The sequence below is a fragment of the Homo sapiens genome, chromosome 3 (genome assembly GCF_000001405.40).
Source record: "Homo sapiens chromosome 3, GRCh38.p14 Primary Assembly".
NCBI classification, from domain to species: Eukaryota; Metazoa; Chordata; class Mammalia; order Primates; family Hominidae; genus Homo; species Homo sapiens.
This window is the reverse complement of record NC_000003.12, coordinates 127,520,916-127,537,096: the sequence shown is the minus strand read 5'-3', so window position 1 is coordinate 127,537,096 and position 16,181 is coordinate 127,520,916. Positions and strand designations below refer to the sequence as shown.

The 16,181-nt window shown below is 48.7% G+C and overlaps 1 long non-coding RNA gene across 1 annotated transcript in view; it reads left to right on the top strand.

Annotated features, from left to right (window-relative positions):
• The window catches only part of LINC01471 (long intergenic non-protein coding RNA 1471), a 40,180-nt gene that overhangs the window by 684 nt on the left and 23,315 nt on the right, over positions 1-16,181 (top strand). The window contains exons 2-5 of the long non-coding RNA NR_125397.1: positions 1,634-1,911; positions 2,691-2,980; positions 3,328-3,462; positions 4,662-4,712. This is a non-coding gene — a long non-coding RNA (long intergenic non-protein coding RNA 1471). The remainder of the gene's footprint in view (positions 1-1,633; positions 1,912-2,690; positions 2,981-3,327; positions 3,463-4,661; positions 4,713-16,181) is intronic.

Genomic DNA, 16,181 nt, shown 5'->3' with positions numbered 1-16,181 from the left:
TGGAGGCCAGGAGCAAGGATATGCTCTGAGCCTGGTCTGGGGCCCCTCCCCCACTTCCCACCTCCCAGCTCTTCCCTCCTAGAGACACCTTCTTTGTCTGCAGAGGCCACTGCTTTGATTCTGTTGTTGCTAGGTGATGGGAACTGGGGGGAGCAAAGAGTGGGGAACTGGGCAGGGTCTGGCGGGGCTGTGGTGGGGGAAGCTGAAGCATGAAGGCTCGAGGAGCACACAGACACCTACACACAGCTCCGCGGGCATGTGGGGACCCAGACCCACCCCCACAGCAGACACCCCCACAGAGCACTCATGGCCCCCACAGAAATACACCCACACTCATCACAGCAAACCAAAACAATCACACGCCGGTACACAAACACACACACCCCCGCACCAATCCAGGCAGACACAAAGCTCACGGCGACAGGCAGATCTGATTCACACAGACACAGGCACAGGTGCTTCCTGATGCCACCCTCTCTTGGTCACGTGCCAGCACTTGGAGGGAGGAAAGTGCCTCACCAGGCTGAGATGCCCAAGGGACCCCCCAGGGAGGGAAAGCAGGACACACTGGGACAGTTGCTTCCAGCCCTGTCCACACCCTTGTGCCCATCAGGTATGCCGCTCACCCCCACCCCACCTGGACCTTGGTGTCACCTAGGATTGCAGAGGCCGCCTTCAGCCCAGAGCCTGGGGCCTTGCCCACTGCCTCACCTCCCAGGATAGGGCATGCTGTTCCTTTCTCCTTCCCTTTCTTTGCTCTTGTGTGCCTGCCTTTAGCAAACGCCCACTGGGTGTGTGGGTACACTGCGGCCTTTAAAGAGAAGAGAAACACATGAGGCTTACAGCAGGAGGCCCTGCCTAGGTTCCAAGGGACATGGAGCAGGGTGGCTGTGTAGAGCTGGGGAGCATCCCAAGCCTGTGCCAAGGTTCCAAGGACAAAAAGGGCAAGGAGGCCCAGTGCGGGGTGGTGGGGGAGCAGCTAGCCAGGGCCAACAGTGAGCCTCGCGCCTGGGCAGGTGTAGCCTTTAAACGCGGTGGGGGAACCATGGACAGCATCTAAGCAGGGACGTGCCGTGAGTCCTGGGGGTGCAGGGGTGTCTAGAGGGGAAGCTGGGAAGCAGGGGTCACAGCTTTCCGACTGGTGGCTGAGTGTGGGGAAGACAGGAGGGGCAGGTGTGAGATGTACAGCAGACACAGCTGTGTGCTGGGGCATGGTGGGCTGTGGTGAGAGAGAGGAGCAGGTCTTCTCCCCGCGTGTTCAGAGCAGATCCAAACTCTTCTCCCATTCCTTCCTCCACCGTGCATCCTCAGCACCCCTCAGCACTGGCCTGTGTGGGCAGCGTGAGCACAGAGAGCAGGAGCTTGCCCTCAGAGGCTTCAGGGGGTCGCTTGTACCCAGTGGTATGGTCAGCATCATGTTTGACCAAAGGGAGGAAGGTGGCTGTGACCAGAGCGAGGGGGGGTCCTGATGCAGCTGGGGAGTCAGGCTCGAGTGCATGCTGTGCATGTTCTCTGCCTCTCTTCCTGGGGGGCAGGCGAGTCTCCAGAGCCTGGAGGACAAGTTAGCCTTGCGAAGGATAGCAGAGGACCCAGCCCAGGGGTCCCCAAAATGGAGCACCAACCCTCCATGCAGGCCAAGCCACTGGTGAATATGCTGCAAAAAATATGCTGGAACTTCTATGAATACCACAGGGTGTGAGAAGAAAACATTAGAACTTCTATTTTGTACCTGTGTTACTCCACAACAAGAAAGCAATCAGCTTGATCAATGCCTACTGTAAAGACGGCACCGCCCTCCGGAGGTCCTTTCTCAGCCCTGGTGTTCGGACAGCCACATCCCCTCGCAGCAGGGGGAGGCCTGAAGCATAGAGGGGCCCATGCAGGTCTATTCTGTTTCAGCGAATTGCCTGGGTAAGTGGATTTGTGGATTATAGTCTCTGGTTTTAATTAAACTAACCCTAACAAAATGAGCAAGTGGCTTAAGAAGTTTCATGTGAAGGAAATGTGTTTTGAAGATAATGGAAGCAAGAGCTTAAAACAAGAAATGGTAACTCGGCACTCTTCTTCACTCCTGGAAGGAGCCACTCAGGGTGCACAGTACTAGGTAAATACAGCGTCTATGGAATCGGCCCTGATGAGGAGTCGGACACAGAAATTACAACTCACCGAGAAGCCTGCTTGAAATGTGGTTTACATCCACGGCTGTGAACACAGGCCCCACCTGGAAGACGCCCCAGGGGGAGTAACAGGAGAAAAAGCAAGTGGCAGGACACAGTGTGCTTTATATCCCATTTATGAGAAAAACAAAATCGAGTTATGATATGTGTTAACACATGCACGGGACCTGGAGGCACGCGCATTACGCCAGCTTCTCTTTGAAGGGAGGCCAGCACTGTCACCATTGTGTGCCTCGGCTGATTTGAGTTATTACAGTGATTATGCATACAGTTACAGTGAGAGACACGATAAGGAATTTTTAAGCATCTAGGGTTTTTAAACCTTTTATTTTGAAATAATTTTAGATTTACTGAAGAACTAAAAGGTGGTGCAGAGAATTCCTGTCCCGTATGTTAACACATCACGTAACCGTGATACAACTGTCAGAACTAAGGAATAACTGTTGCTGTGCCACCGTGAACTAGAGTTCAGATATCTCCAGCATTTCCACTGATGTCCTTTTTCTGTTTCAGGAAATAATCCAGGATCCATTTCGTGTGGTCATCTTGTCTCCCTGGTCCCCTCCAGCCTTTCCTCATCTTTTGTGACCTGGTCACTCTGGAAGGGCGCTGGCCAGTTAGTCCACAGGATGGGCCTCCCCTGGGGCTTTTCTGATGCTTCCTTATGATGGCACTGGCATCCTGAGGGGGAGGACCACAGAGAGGAGGTGCTCCTCATCACACCACATGGGGGTCCATGCACCAGTGCCACTGCTTTCCAGGGCTCTTCACCTTCATCACTGGTGGAGGTGGCGTCTGCCAAGGTATCCACTGTCCGTTGAGTTGTATCTGGAGTTCAAGCAGGGGACGGTTTCACAGGGCAGGGATCAGGAGACAGGGAGAGAGGCAGCCAGGCCAGGTCACAGGAGACCTTGACTGTGGCATGTGAAGAGGGCTAGGCAGATGCGGTGAGGTCAGCGTTGAACTTCTAAAGTCTCAGTGGTGTCTTTGGGAGAGAGGGTTGCCAGGGCAAGGGAGGAAGCTGGGGTCCAGCCAGGCCAGAGTAGTGTTGTCAGGTGATGGGGAGGAAGACAATTCAAGGGCAAGGGAGGAGGTGAGACCTAGAGGGATTGGCGTCAGGCACCCCACGCAGTGCTTCTCTCACTTGCAGAAGCAGAAAGTTGAGGCTTAGAAGGTGCACGGCCCTACCTCTTCCGAGGTGCCCCTGCGGGCTGTCTACAGACCAGGCAGCACATGCCTGATAGCAGCTGCATAAGGAAAAGCAGGAGCCAGCTCGTGCACAGTGGCCTCAAGTGTGCACTGGGCATGTTCTCTGCCTCACCATCCCTGTGTGACAGATGAAGGTACAGGGGGCCCGGGATGGGAGGACACTGGCCCAGGTGGCAGTTGGGGCAGAGGGCCCTCGAGCCCGAGACTTTTCCCCAGGTCCTGCAGGCCCTGTGCCAAGGCAGCCAAGCTGCCTCCTCTGTCCTGGGCCTCCAACCCCTCCAGCCCTCTGCCCACTTAAAAGTAGGGGAGCCTTAGCTACTTGGGAGGCTGAGGCATGAGAATCGCTTGAACCCGGGAGGCGGAGGTTGCAGTGGGCCGAGGTCGCGCCACTGCACTCCAGCCTGGGTGACAGAGTGAGACTTTGTCTCAAAAAAAAAAAAAAAACAAAAAAATAGGGAAGTCTTTTGGCCCAGGTGGGGATGGCGTGAACAGGAGGGGAGCTCTGTTCTAGGTGCCTGGGTGACAAACCACTCCAAGCCTAGAGGCCTAAAACAGCAGCCATTTTCTCCTGCTCTCCAAGTCTGTGGGTCACGAATTCAGCCAGAGAGCGTCAGGGTGCTTCCCCTCTGTTCCGCATGTCCCAGAAAGCTGGGGAGACTGAAGGCTGGGTGGTGACCCTGGTGACTCAGGCTACTGGGGGCTGCAGGGACCTAGAGGCTTCCTCATACCCAAGCCTGGCACCGGGGCTTGAGTGAAAGCTGACATAGCCTCTCTGGGTGGCTTGGCCCTCCTCACAGCATGGCAAGCCAGGCTCCAGAGAAGCATCCTGAGGACCAGTGTTCCTAGGGACCTCATTCTTCTGACCTCATTCCTACAACGTTTTGTCACTGCAAAGGAAATCACCAAGGCCAGGTCAGGTTCAAGGCCAGGGGCATGGGGGCGGGGAAGTTAGAGGCCACTCTTTGGCAGGGACAAGACAAGGTCAATGCCATGGTCTGTTTGTCCCCAAAGCTTGTGTTGAAATGTGGTGGTGGTGGTGGTAGGTGGGGCCTAGTGGGGGGTGTTTATGTCATGAGGTCTTCCCTCATGAGTGGTTGGTGCTGTTCTAGGCCGTGAGCAAGTTCTCACTCTGGTGAGGCTGGATGAGTTCTCATGGGAATAAGTTAGTTCCCTCGAGAGAGGTTTGTTATAAAGCCAGACACCTCTCAGTTTACCACCCTTCATACTTGCCCACTTTCCCTTTGACCCTGGCCATGTTATGAAGCAGCATGACAGCCCTCAACAGAAGCCAAGGCCAAGTCCTCGAACTTCCTAGTCTGCACAATGGTGAGCTAAAGGACCCTCTTTTCTCTATCAATGATCCAGCCTCAGGTACTCTTTCATAGCAACACAAAACGGAGTAAGACAGTCACACTGCAAAAGCGTGTGCGGGATGGGAGGTGCTGTGTGGTCGCCTCTGGAAATGTGATCTGCCCCATGGTCCTTCAGCCCTGTGTCTGGTGTGACCCTGGAGGTCCCTGCACCCAGGGCCACAAAGCTACTGCATCTCCCCTACACCCACCACCACTGTGCAGTGCTGGTCCAATCCATTATTTTGTGCTCCAGCCTCGGTTTCCCCATTCAATTCCCCACAGTGACCTGAAGGCCAGACCCTGTCCCTGACTGGATCTCTGTATTCAACTAGGGACAGGCAAACTCCTACCCCCTGAGAGGGTGACCTCAGAATCAGTTCCCCAAGTTCCAGTTCCAGTTTGCCCCTGGCCTGCCACACTGCCTGGAACTGGCTGCCTCTCCTCCATGAGGCTCAGCCTCTCGGAGGCCACCCACAGGCCTGGCAGTGAGTGCCTCCCTGTGTTTTTTATGGAGGATGCCTCTTTTGTCTCCCCTTGTCCCAGCCTGCACAGTGCCCTCCCTTTCCACACCCCCATGCCACCCTTGGCTGAAACTGGGTGGACAGGCCAGCCCTAGGCTTATGCCCCACTCTGACACCCCACTGGGCTCTATCTCAGCCCTGAACCCAGGTCTGCCAAATTCTATTTTGGTTTGTATATAGTGCGTTTGACAGCATCTCTTTGTGCAGATTTTTCAGTGGTCATTCCAGGTATTAGATTATACATATATAACTTATCACAGTTAGCTGATGTTGACATTTTATCAGTGGGGGGGGGGGGGGGGGGAAGAGGAGAAACCTAAGTCCTTCACTTTCCCTGTTCTCTCCCCCTGTATAACAATTCTTTTTAGTATTTCCTCTACATACGTTGGCAATCACATCATTCAGTGTTATAACTTTTGCTTCAATTGTCAAGCATAATTTAGAAAACTCAAGAGATGAGGTCTATTGTCTCTATCTATATTTTGTTGACTGTGTTCTTCCTTCCTTACACTTTGAGATTCCTTCTTTTCTCATTTTATTTGTTTGGCAAACTTCCTTTAATCACTCCTTTTGGGTAGGTCTGCTGGTGACAAAGTCTCTGTTTTTTTTTTCTTCTGAAGATGTCTTGATTTCCTCTTGATTTCTGAAGGATATTTTCACTGGATGTAAGATTCTGGGCTGAGAGTTCTTTTCTTTCAGCTCTTGAAAATTGCTGTGCCACTTCCTTTTGGTCTCCATGGTTTCAGTGAGAAATCTGCTGTCATTAAAATGGTTTTCCCTTACAGGTAAGATGCTGTTTCTTTTTTCTCTCTCTCTGTCGCCCAGGCTGGAGTGCAGTGGCACAATCTCGGCTCACTGCAACTTCTGCTTCCTGGGTTCAAGCGATTCTCCTGCTTCAGCCTCCCGAGTAGCTGGGACTACAGGCGCGTGGCACCATGCCCGGCTAATTTTTTGTATTTTTAGTAGAGATGGGGTTTCACCGTGTTAGCCAGGATGGTCTCGATCTCCTGACCTCGTGATCTGCCCGCCTCATCCTCCCAAAGTGTTGGGATTACAGGCGTGAGCCACCGCACCCAGCCTGTTTCTGTTTTTTTTTTTTTTTTTTGAGGTAGAGTCTCTCTCTGTCTCCCAGGCTGGAGTGCAGTGGTGCGATCTTGGCTCACTGCAACCTCTGCCTGTCAGATTCAAATGATTCTCTTGCCTCAGCCTCCCTAGTAGCTGGGATTATAGGCATGCGCCATCACACCTGGCTAATTTTTGTATTTTTAATAGAGACGGGGTTTTGCCATGTTGGCCAGGCTGGTCTTGAACGCCTGACCTTAAGTGATCTGCCCTCCTCGGCCTCCCGAAGTGCTGGGATTACAGGCGTTAGCCATGGCGCCTGGCCAAGATGTTTTTTTCTTGCCACTTTCAAGATTTTTGTCTTTGTCTTCAGTTTTCCGAAGTCTCAATAGAAGGTGTCTTGGCATAGGTTTGCTTTGATTGATGCCATTTGGGGTTTGCTCAGGTTCTTGAATCTGTAAATTTATGTCTTTTGCCAAATTTAGGAAATTTCTAAACATTATTTCCTTGAAAATCTTTTCAGCTCCACCCTCATCTTTCTTCCTTTCTGGGTCTCTCACGACATGGATGCTAGGCCTTTTGTAATAGAGAGACCAAAATATAGACCAAAATGTATATAGGCCAAAATATACATACCCGAGATTCTGCTCATTTTTATCTAAGTCTATTTTTTGCTTTGTTGTTCAAATTAAGTAATTTCTATTATTTTATCTTTAGGTTCACTGACTCTTCCCTCCAGCCTCTCTGTTCTGGCGTTGAGCCATCCACTGAGTTAATTTTGGCTGTTGCGTTTTCAACCCTGAGTTCCCATTTTGTTCCTCTTTGTGGCTTGTTTCTCTGCAGAGATTTTCTATTTTCTCACTTGATTCTGTTGTGTTTGCCGTTGAGCATTTTTGTGATGGTGGCTTCAAATTGTTCAGATGATGCTGCTGTTGGTGTCATCCTGGGTTAGTCTCTGCATCTCTTCTCATCAGGGTCGGTGTTTTCCTGGATCCTGGTGTGGAGTGATTTGTGATTGAAGCCTGGATATTAGGGGTTATGTGGTGGGGCTCCTGGCCTTATTTAAACCTCTGTCTCAGCAGCCTCCTTTGAGGCCCGGCTGTGGTGGACTTCCTTGCCCCCAGCTGGGCTTCTCCAATACCTTCCCAAGGAGGGGTGGCATCTCAGTCAGTACATCTGGGTGAGGGTGGAGGTCTAGGCTCCCTCCTCAGTCTCTGCTGGCCAGGGTGGTGTGGGGCCTCGTCTTTTCCTGTGTGGTCTGATGGCGTAGGTCAGTTATCTTCTAAAGTTTTCCAGAATGCCCCTTGCCTGGCTAGAGGGAGCAGGTTTTTTTGGGGGATTGTTTTCTGAGCCTGTTGGTATTTCTAGGTTGCTGACTCTTTAGCACCCAGTTTGGCAAACACGAAGCAAAAAGATGGAACTCACCACCATGCTGTTGCCAGGTCCTGAGGCTCCCAGCTTGTGCTTCTCTGCACATGTTAGGGCCTCCTTGTATTCATTCTACACAGAATACCCATGACTTTTAGCTGTATTTGGTGGGGGGAAATAAGAAAAAGTACCTTGACTTCTTCCATCTTTCTGGTTGCAGCAGTTCCAGTGGGTAAAGCCCTTTGAAATTGCACACATACACCATCCTCTACGCCAGCCTCCTTCAAGATTCTGAGCTGTGCACTGCTGTTATTCATACTGTTTGTCTGCTCTAATTGTCCAATTCTTGTGAAAAGTCTAAACATGACCTTGGGTGATACCCTGGGGTGCATAGAGCAGAAAGCCAAGCTATAATGAGAGGTTCCTTGGATCTCAGAGGGTGGGCAGGGTCTGGAGGCAGGGCAGCTGGGATGGGGCTGGGCTGAGGTTTGGAGAGGCCTGGGTCCAGGCCAGACGAAAGCCAGTCCTTGGATCCACAAACACCCACAGCCAATCCATGCTAATTCTACGCATTCATGAGTTGTCCTCTAAAACTCTTCTTCCCAATTTCCTCCAAAACCCTCCATGTCATCTAGGCCAGGGTCTACTCTATGCCCCTTTGCTGTGCTCATGGAAACTTTTTTTTCTTAACTTCAAAGACAAGTGAGCTCATGGAAACCTCTCCATCGTTGACCAGGATCTATAGGAAAACCCTCCTCTTCTTCTATATGCAAAGGCTGCACAGCTCCTGGTTCACCTGCACCTCTCCAGACCACCATGGTGCCTGCAGCTCTGAGGGCATTTTAAATCATCACAGAACAACAAGCATATAAGCATCATGAGCGCCTCTGGACCTCTGACGTGCCTTGTGGAGGCCTGCCAGGCCCACGTTTTAATTTACATGAACTCGATGCCCTTTTTGACAGGGAGAGATCTGTTTCTTTATTTGTTAGCCTTTCCCCTGGACCTGCTAGATCTGGACCATCCCCAGGAAAGGAAGGTCACACCACAAAGATAAATATAAACAAAATGAGTTAATTAAGAAGGAGTTAGTCTGAAATTCAATATTCCCAAGAGTCCAAGCCCTTCAGTTCTAAGTGAATTTTTCTCCCCTGTAAAATAGAACTGTTGGGTACAGTGAGATTCCATTGTATATGGTCTCACTTAGAATTTGTCTCATTTCACATATGCAAACACTGAGGCTCTGTGAGGTGAGAGATCTGCTGCACTAGGTCCTGAAAGGCACAGCCAGTGAGCATTCAGCCCAGGGTACATCTGCTGGCTTCACAGTTGCCCTGCTATTCTGTGGTCCAATGTGGCTGCTCTAGCTCCAGCCATCACATCTGCATTCTTACCAGTGGGAAGGGCAAAGCATGACCTTTCTTTTTAAGACACGTTTGAAGTTGCATACATCATTTCTGCTCATGTTTCACTGGCCAGCATTTAAACGGATGGGCATACCTAGCTGCAGGGAAGGCTGTAGTCTTCATTCTGGGATGAAGTGTACCCAGCTAAAAGTCTAGAGTTTTATTTCTATGAGAGAAATTGAGCATGGATACTGGGGGACAATGAACCATTTCCACTTCATCTTCTAATAAATGTGACAAGTGCAATGCTTGTCATATATTGTGTATTGACTCAATTCAGAACACACTGGGCATCTACCCTGTATAAGGCCTTGGCTTGAGCTCAATGGCAGATACACATATGTGTGAGACCAAAGGGCACAGGGAGGCCAGAAAAGAGAACAAGTGACATTTATTGAAGACTTATCATGTCCTGGACCAGGAGCTTTGCATACATCATTGCTTTTAAGCTTTGCAACTCAGTAAATCTGCAGAAACTAAGTTCCAGAGAAATGAAGTGCGTCTTAGGTCTGTTTTCCAGGGAAAGAAACTGTGAGATGAAGATTTGCATTCAGGAAGTTTATTAGGGAGTAGGCTCAGGCTCGACACTGGTGAGGGAGTGAGGGAAGGAGGGCTGGGCAGAGGGAGAAGTTGATTGCGGGCAACAGAAGCCTCAGCCATTCCTACCTGAATGGCCCTTCAGAGTGGTTCTTAACTTCTAATTAAGGGGCCAGGACTCTGTACCCCCTCACCAGCCAGACATTGGATGTGGGATGCCTACCAAAGCCCCCTTCCTCCCCAGGAGGGGTGTGACCTTGGGCGAAGCGGCTGCTGCTATCCAAGGGCACTACCCAGGGACGCAGCTGTCAGGCTTCAGCCTTCAACACTCCCAAATACCTTGGTCCAGAAGGAGGGGTCTGGGCTGCAAAGGACAGTGTCTTCTAGAAAATGACACAATCAAGGTCACATAGCTGGGGGTTCAGAGCTGAGATTCCAGTTTAGTTTTGTCTTCAGAATCCACGTGACTCTTCATGTTCCTTGCTGCCTCCCAGGCAACTGCTCAGGGGCAGATGGGGCTGGCAGAGGAGGAGCCTGGAGGCTGGACCCTCCCCTGGCACATTGTCCCTGAGGACGGTTCAAGACAAGGTCCTCCTTCACAGCTCCGGGGCCCCATCTCACCCTCCTCTTCACTCTGCTCAGTGTGCTCTGGCCACACTGCCCTCTTCACCGCTCCTCTGATAGCCCACGCTCTCTCCAGATGCAGGTATGTCCACGCGCAGCTCCTTTCCCTGGGAGCACACCTCCTCCGGCATTCACACATGGGCTGCTCCCTGTCATTTGAGTCCCACTGAAATGTCACCTTCCCTGATCACCCTTTCGACATTGTCTCCCTGCCCCAGTCCCTCTGGTCCCTAGTAACTGTCATGCCAGCCCCCGGCATTTCGGAGCCCCTCTCTAAAATGATCTCCTTTCTTTAGACTTCATGTGCACACTCCGTCCCCACCAGCACATGAGCTCCGTGAGGGCAGGGATCTTGTCTGTCCTGCTCACCACGATCTCCCCAATGCCTAGCCCAGTGCCTGGCACATAGTAGGTGTTCAATAAATATGAGTTAGATAATGGAATGAATAAATAAATGCATGAAAAAGATATAAATCACCCTAATCCAGGGCAGAAAGAACTTGGGCCTGCGAGGGATGGCCCAGAGCTGGGGGGGTGTTTGAAGGGAGTGATTCCTTCCTTCCTGCTGCCCCAAGGAGATAGAGCAGTGTCAGCCTCAGTTTGCCCAGCTGTAATCAAGGGGATGAGGCTGGCTTCCCACCTCCTAGGAAGCCAGCCCCATCTGGGGTTCTTTCTTGGGTGGTGTGTGCAGTAGGGGAGCGTGTCAGTGCGGTTTCTCCTGAGGCCTCCCTCTCCTTGGCTTGCAGGTGGCTGTCTCCTCCTCCGGGGTCTTCACCTCGTCATTCCCCTTTGTGCGTCTGTGTCCAGATCTCTTCTTACAAGAACACCAGTTATATTGGGTTATGAGCCACTCGTTTTAACTTAAGTACCTCTTTACTGACTCTGCAGGAGTCCCCCTGATCTGCAAGGGGTGCTCCAAGACCCCCAGTGGATGTTGGAGACTGTGGATAGTACTGAACTTCCCCCCATGTACAAACCTATGATAAAGTTTAATTTATGAATTAGGCACAGTGAGAGATTAACAATAGCAACCATGAATACAATAGAACAATAACAGGACATACTGTTATAAGGGTTATGGGAGTGTGGCTTCTCTTACTCCAAACGCCCGATTGTGCCTCACTCACTCTTTCTGTGAGGCTGTGAGATGACACAATGCCTTCGTGAGTGAGTGACGTGGGCACTGTGACATAGTGTCAGGCTGCTGCCAACCTTCTGATGATACGTACGTCAGAGGGAGGGTCACCTGCTGTGGTTACCCTGGACCATTGAGCCGTGATGACACTGCAGGCTGGATGTCAGGAGCAGACGATGTTGATGACTCACAGATGGGGGAGTTGCAGGTACAGCATAAAGACGCTGGACAGTGGGATGATTCACACCCAAGCTGGATGGGGCTGCACTCAGCGAGATTTTTCAGTCTACTCTGAACGGTGTGCAATTTAAAACTTATGAATAGTTTGTTTCTGGAATTTTCTTTCTTCCTTTTTTTTTTTCCTTTTTGTTTGAGACAGGGTCTTGCTCTGTCACCCAGGCTTAAGTGATCCTCCTGGGCTCAAGCGATCCTCCCGCCTCTGTCTTCTGAGTAGCTGGGACCACAGGCACACGCCACCATGTCGGGCTAGTTTTTAGATTTTAAACTTTTTGTAGAGATGGGGTCTCACTATGTTGCCCAGGCTGTGGCATTTTCCATTTAATATTTTCAGACGTGATTGACCGTAGGTAACTAAAATTTCAGAAAGCAAAACAGCAGAGAAGTGGGAACTACTGCATCTCCAAGTGCAGTCCCATTCTGAGGTACTGGGCATAGAGTTCAGTGTGTAAATTTGGGGGCCACCATGCACTCTGCGAGATGGGGTGCCAGACCATCCCCAAGACTGGGAAAAGCAGGAAGCCCTGGCACTTCCCATGTATTTATTTATTTGGAGGATCTTGGCATACTAAAAAATAAAGGCATGTCTCAATGGTTTTAAGAAATTGATCTATATTTTAAGTGGTTACTTTAATAAGTTAGTACTTTAAACAAATAATGCACCACAATTGTACAAATCACAAGATAATTGCAATATTATTAACAAAAATGTTCATTTAGCGCATTGTCTGGTCTGGCCATGGGACATAACTTTTCAGTTTTGCGATGAGCGGCTTTGTCTTTTAATCTTATCATGCGTCTCCACATTCAGGGATGAAATATTCAAACTTCTGCTCACCTCCTTTTCTGCAGCTTGAGAAGCCTCTGCCTGGGTGCGCAGCCCCACAGCCCAGCCTCTGCAGAGTGGGAGGGGAGCCAGGCCCTGCTTGGGTAGCATTGCCATGGCAACCTCTCCCCACGCTGCTCCTCGCTGAGACCCGGGCATCTGTGGCCATGGCGACTGGGCCTGCCACTGGCACATCTGCATAGCAACCAGAGAGGGTGCCGAGCGCAGCTGGGCCCCGCTCAGGAAAACAGGTACACTCAGAGCTTTTATCAGTCATTAAGGAGAAGCTGGGAGCCTCTATGGGGAGAAAGGACAAAGGATGCAGACAAAAGACTTGGAACCGCAAGTGGCTAATAAATCTATGACAAGTGCCCAACATTACCAGCGATCATAGAAATGCAAATGCAAACAACAATAAGATACTTAAAGAAAAACAACAACAACTAGTGCAATTGGCAAGAGATGAGGCACAAAAGAGATAGGACCCAGTGTTGGCGGGGGGTGTAGGGAATGGGGACTCGAACACCCTGCTGGTCTGAGTGCACATTCATGGAACATTTCTGAGAAGGCAATTTGCAATCTGTATCAAAAGCCTTTAAAATGCACATACCTTTTGAACCAACAATTCTAGTTGTAGTAATTTATTCCAAGGTAATAATTAAGTGAGTAAAGATTCAGCTCCAAGTGTGTTCCCTGTAGGGGCAATTATAATACAAAAACTTTGAAACAACCACAATCTGAAAAAAAAAAAAAAAAGAATTGATTAAATCATCTATTTTGCATTCATACAAGGGAGTGCTATGCAACCTTTAAGAAATGTTATAGAAGACTACTTAGAGGTGCAGAACGATAGTTACAATAGAATATTAAGCAGAAAAGCAACAGATTATGAAACAGATGTATAGTGCTGCTCAGGGCCCTCCTACCAACACCTTCAGTCCTCAGCACCCTCTGCATCCAGGGGAGGGTGTCAAGACTCAGCAGAACACTGCCCAGGGTTCCTAGAGAGCGCGACCAGAAGTTTCTGTGCACATGAACGCACGTCTGAGTGTACATCTTGGGGAGAAGCACAGTCCAGAGCTGCGGGCCTGGGAAGCCCAGGTTGTCTCCTGACACCACCTAATTGTGTGACTCACGGATAGCCCTTCCTGGAGAGCTTGTCAGATTGGGGTAGTCATTGCTGCACTGGCCATCCCATCCCAGGGTATTCCCAAGCCAAATACCATCTCTTAGTTGGGTCAAGAGGATAAACCATGAAGAATCAAATAATGTTTTCAAGGCAACAGATTTGGAGCCTTGCCTGCATGAGGAAAATCAACTTCAACATAAGGCATTTTTTAAAAATTCAAAAACTTTTCAGTTGTAGTAAAATGCACATAACAAAATTTTTCATTTTGACCATTGTTAAGTGTAAAACTCAGTGTGCAACCATCATCACCATCCGTCTCCAGAACTTTTTTCTCTTCCCAAACTGAGACTCTGTACCTATTAAACACTAACTCCCATTTCTCCTCCCACCAGTCCCCCTAGCAACCACCATTTTACTTTCTGAATCTGACCACTCTAAGGACCTCATATAAGTGGAATCATATATAGTGTTTGCCCTTCAGTGACTGGTTTATTCACTTAGCACAGTTTTCAGGGTTCATCCATGTTGTAGCATGTGTCAGAGTTTCCATCCCTTTTAAGGCTGAATATTTAACATTCTGTTGTGTTCATATACTATATTTTGTTAATCCATTCCTCTGACAATGGACACTTGGATTGCTTCCATCTTTTTGCTGTTGTGAAGATTGCTGCTGTGAACATGGGTGTGCAATTATCTCTTTGAGACTCAATGTAAGACTTTTCTGATGAAGATCCATCCCGTGGAGTGAAGCTAGAGAGGCTGTCAGGGATGGGCTTTTCTATCTCCATGTGGAGAAGTTGTCGATGTAAGGATCAGTTGGAGAAGAGCAAGGCAAACCAAGAGACACACATGAAGGAAATGGCATTCATCCAGACAGAAGCGCCAACTCACCAGAGAGCTGGGAAGACAGTGAGGTGGAGGAAAAGAGTTTTGTGTGTCTTGTCTTCCTACTCACATACTCAATGTGTTCACAGATTGGAGCATAACTTAAACAGTTATCAGAAAAGTAAAGAGTGAGAAGCCATGTAGAAATAATGAGAGTGAGAAACCTCTCAGAGCATTCACTTTATTTGCCTAAAAGAACTCAAATAGAAGACAAACCCTGTGGATTTTACAGACAGTGTTCAATTTGGCAGCCACAGTACACATATGCATGAGACAGTTCTTAGGGAGGGAAAATATTGCATGCAGAGTCTGTGGGCAAGTGTGGAGCTGTGGTATACCCCTCAGTGGATGCCAGAGAATTTGTGTGGAAGAAAGTCTACGTGCATGATATGTGAAGTCTTTTGTACTACTTTTGTACTACTATCTTCATGTTGGTATGTACACACTTTTCTGGCTCCTGCTAGCTCGTGGGTTATCTCCTCTATCTCTATTTGTGTTGAGCTCTTGTATCTACTTTCTACTCTTGTTTTATACTGGCAGGGACTTCATTACACTTTAGTAATTTATAAAGTAAAATTTGGTATCTATATTCTGTTGCTCAGGAGTGATATATTTTCTAATGAATGATACGTATCTGCCATTTGTTTTCTGTGACATTTTTCATTTTTTAGCTATTTCAATACCTGTATTAAAATAACTAAAATATGAGATAACTTTAGTACCTTATCTAGTACCCAACTGCAGTCATGTGTCACTTAACAATGGGGATATGTTTTGAGAAATGCATCCTTAGGCAATTTCATCATTGTGCAAAGAGTGTCCTTATACAACTTAGATGGCATAGACTACTACACAGCTAGGCTACATGGGATAGCCTGTTGCTCACAGGCTACAAACCTGTACAGCATGTGACTGTACTGAGTACTGTGGGAAATTGTAACATAGCAGCGTTTGTTTACCTAAACACGGCTAAACATAGAAAACAGACAGTAGGCTGGGCCCGGTGGCTCACGCCTGTAATCCCAGCACTTTAGGAGGCCGAGATGGCTGGATCACCTGAGGTCAGGAGTTTGAGACCAGCCTGACCAATATGGTGAAACTCCATTTCTACTAAAACTACGAAAATTAACCTGGTGTGGTGGCAGGCGGCTGTAGTCCCATAGTCCCAGCTACTTCGGAGGCTGAGACAAAATAATTGCTTGAACCTGGGAGGCAGAGGTTGCAGTGAGCTGAGATGGCACCACTGCACTCTAGCCTGGGCAACAGAGTGAGACTCTGTCTAAAAAAAAAAAAAAAAAAAAAGAAAACAGTAAAAATAAATATGGTATAAAAGATAAAAATGCGAATACCTGTATAGGGCAGTTACCATGAATGGATCTTGCATGCCATGAATGGATCTTGCAGGACTGGAAGTTGCTCTGGGCGCGTCAGTGAGTGAGTGGTGAGTAAACATGAAGGCCTGGGAATTACTGTGCACTACTGTAGACTTCGTAAACACTGGACACTTAGGCTACACTAAATTTACAACAAATATTTTCTTTCTTCAATAATAAATTAACTTTAGCTCACTATAACCCTTTTACATTATAAACTTTTAAATTTAACTTTTTGACTTTTTTGTGATAACACAGCTTAAAACAAACACATTGTACAGCTGTACAAAAATATTTTCTTTCTTAATTTTTATTTTCTTTTTAGAGACAAAGTCTTGCT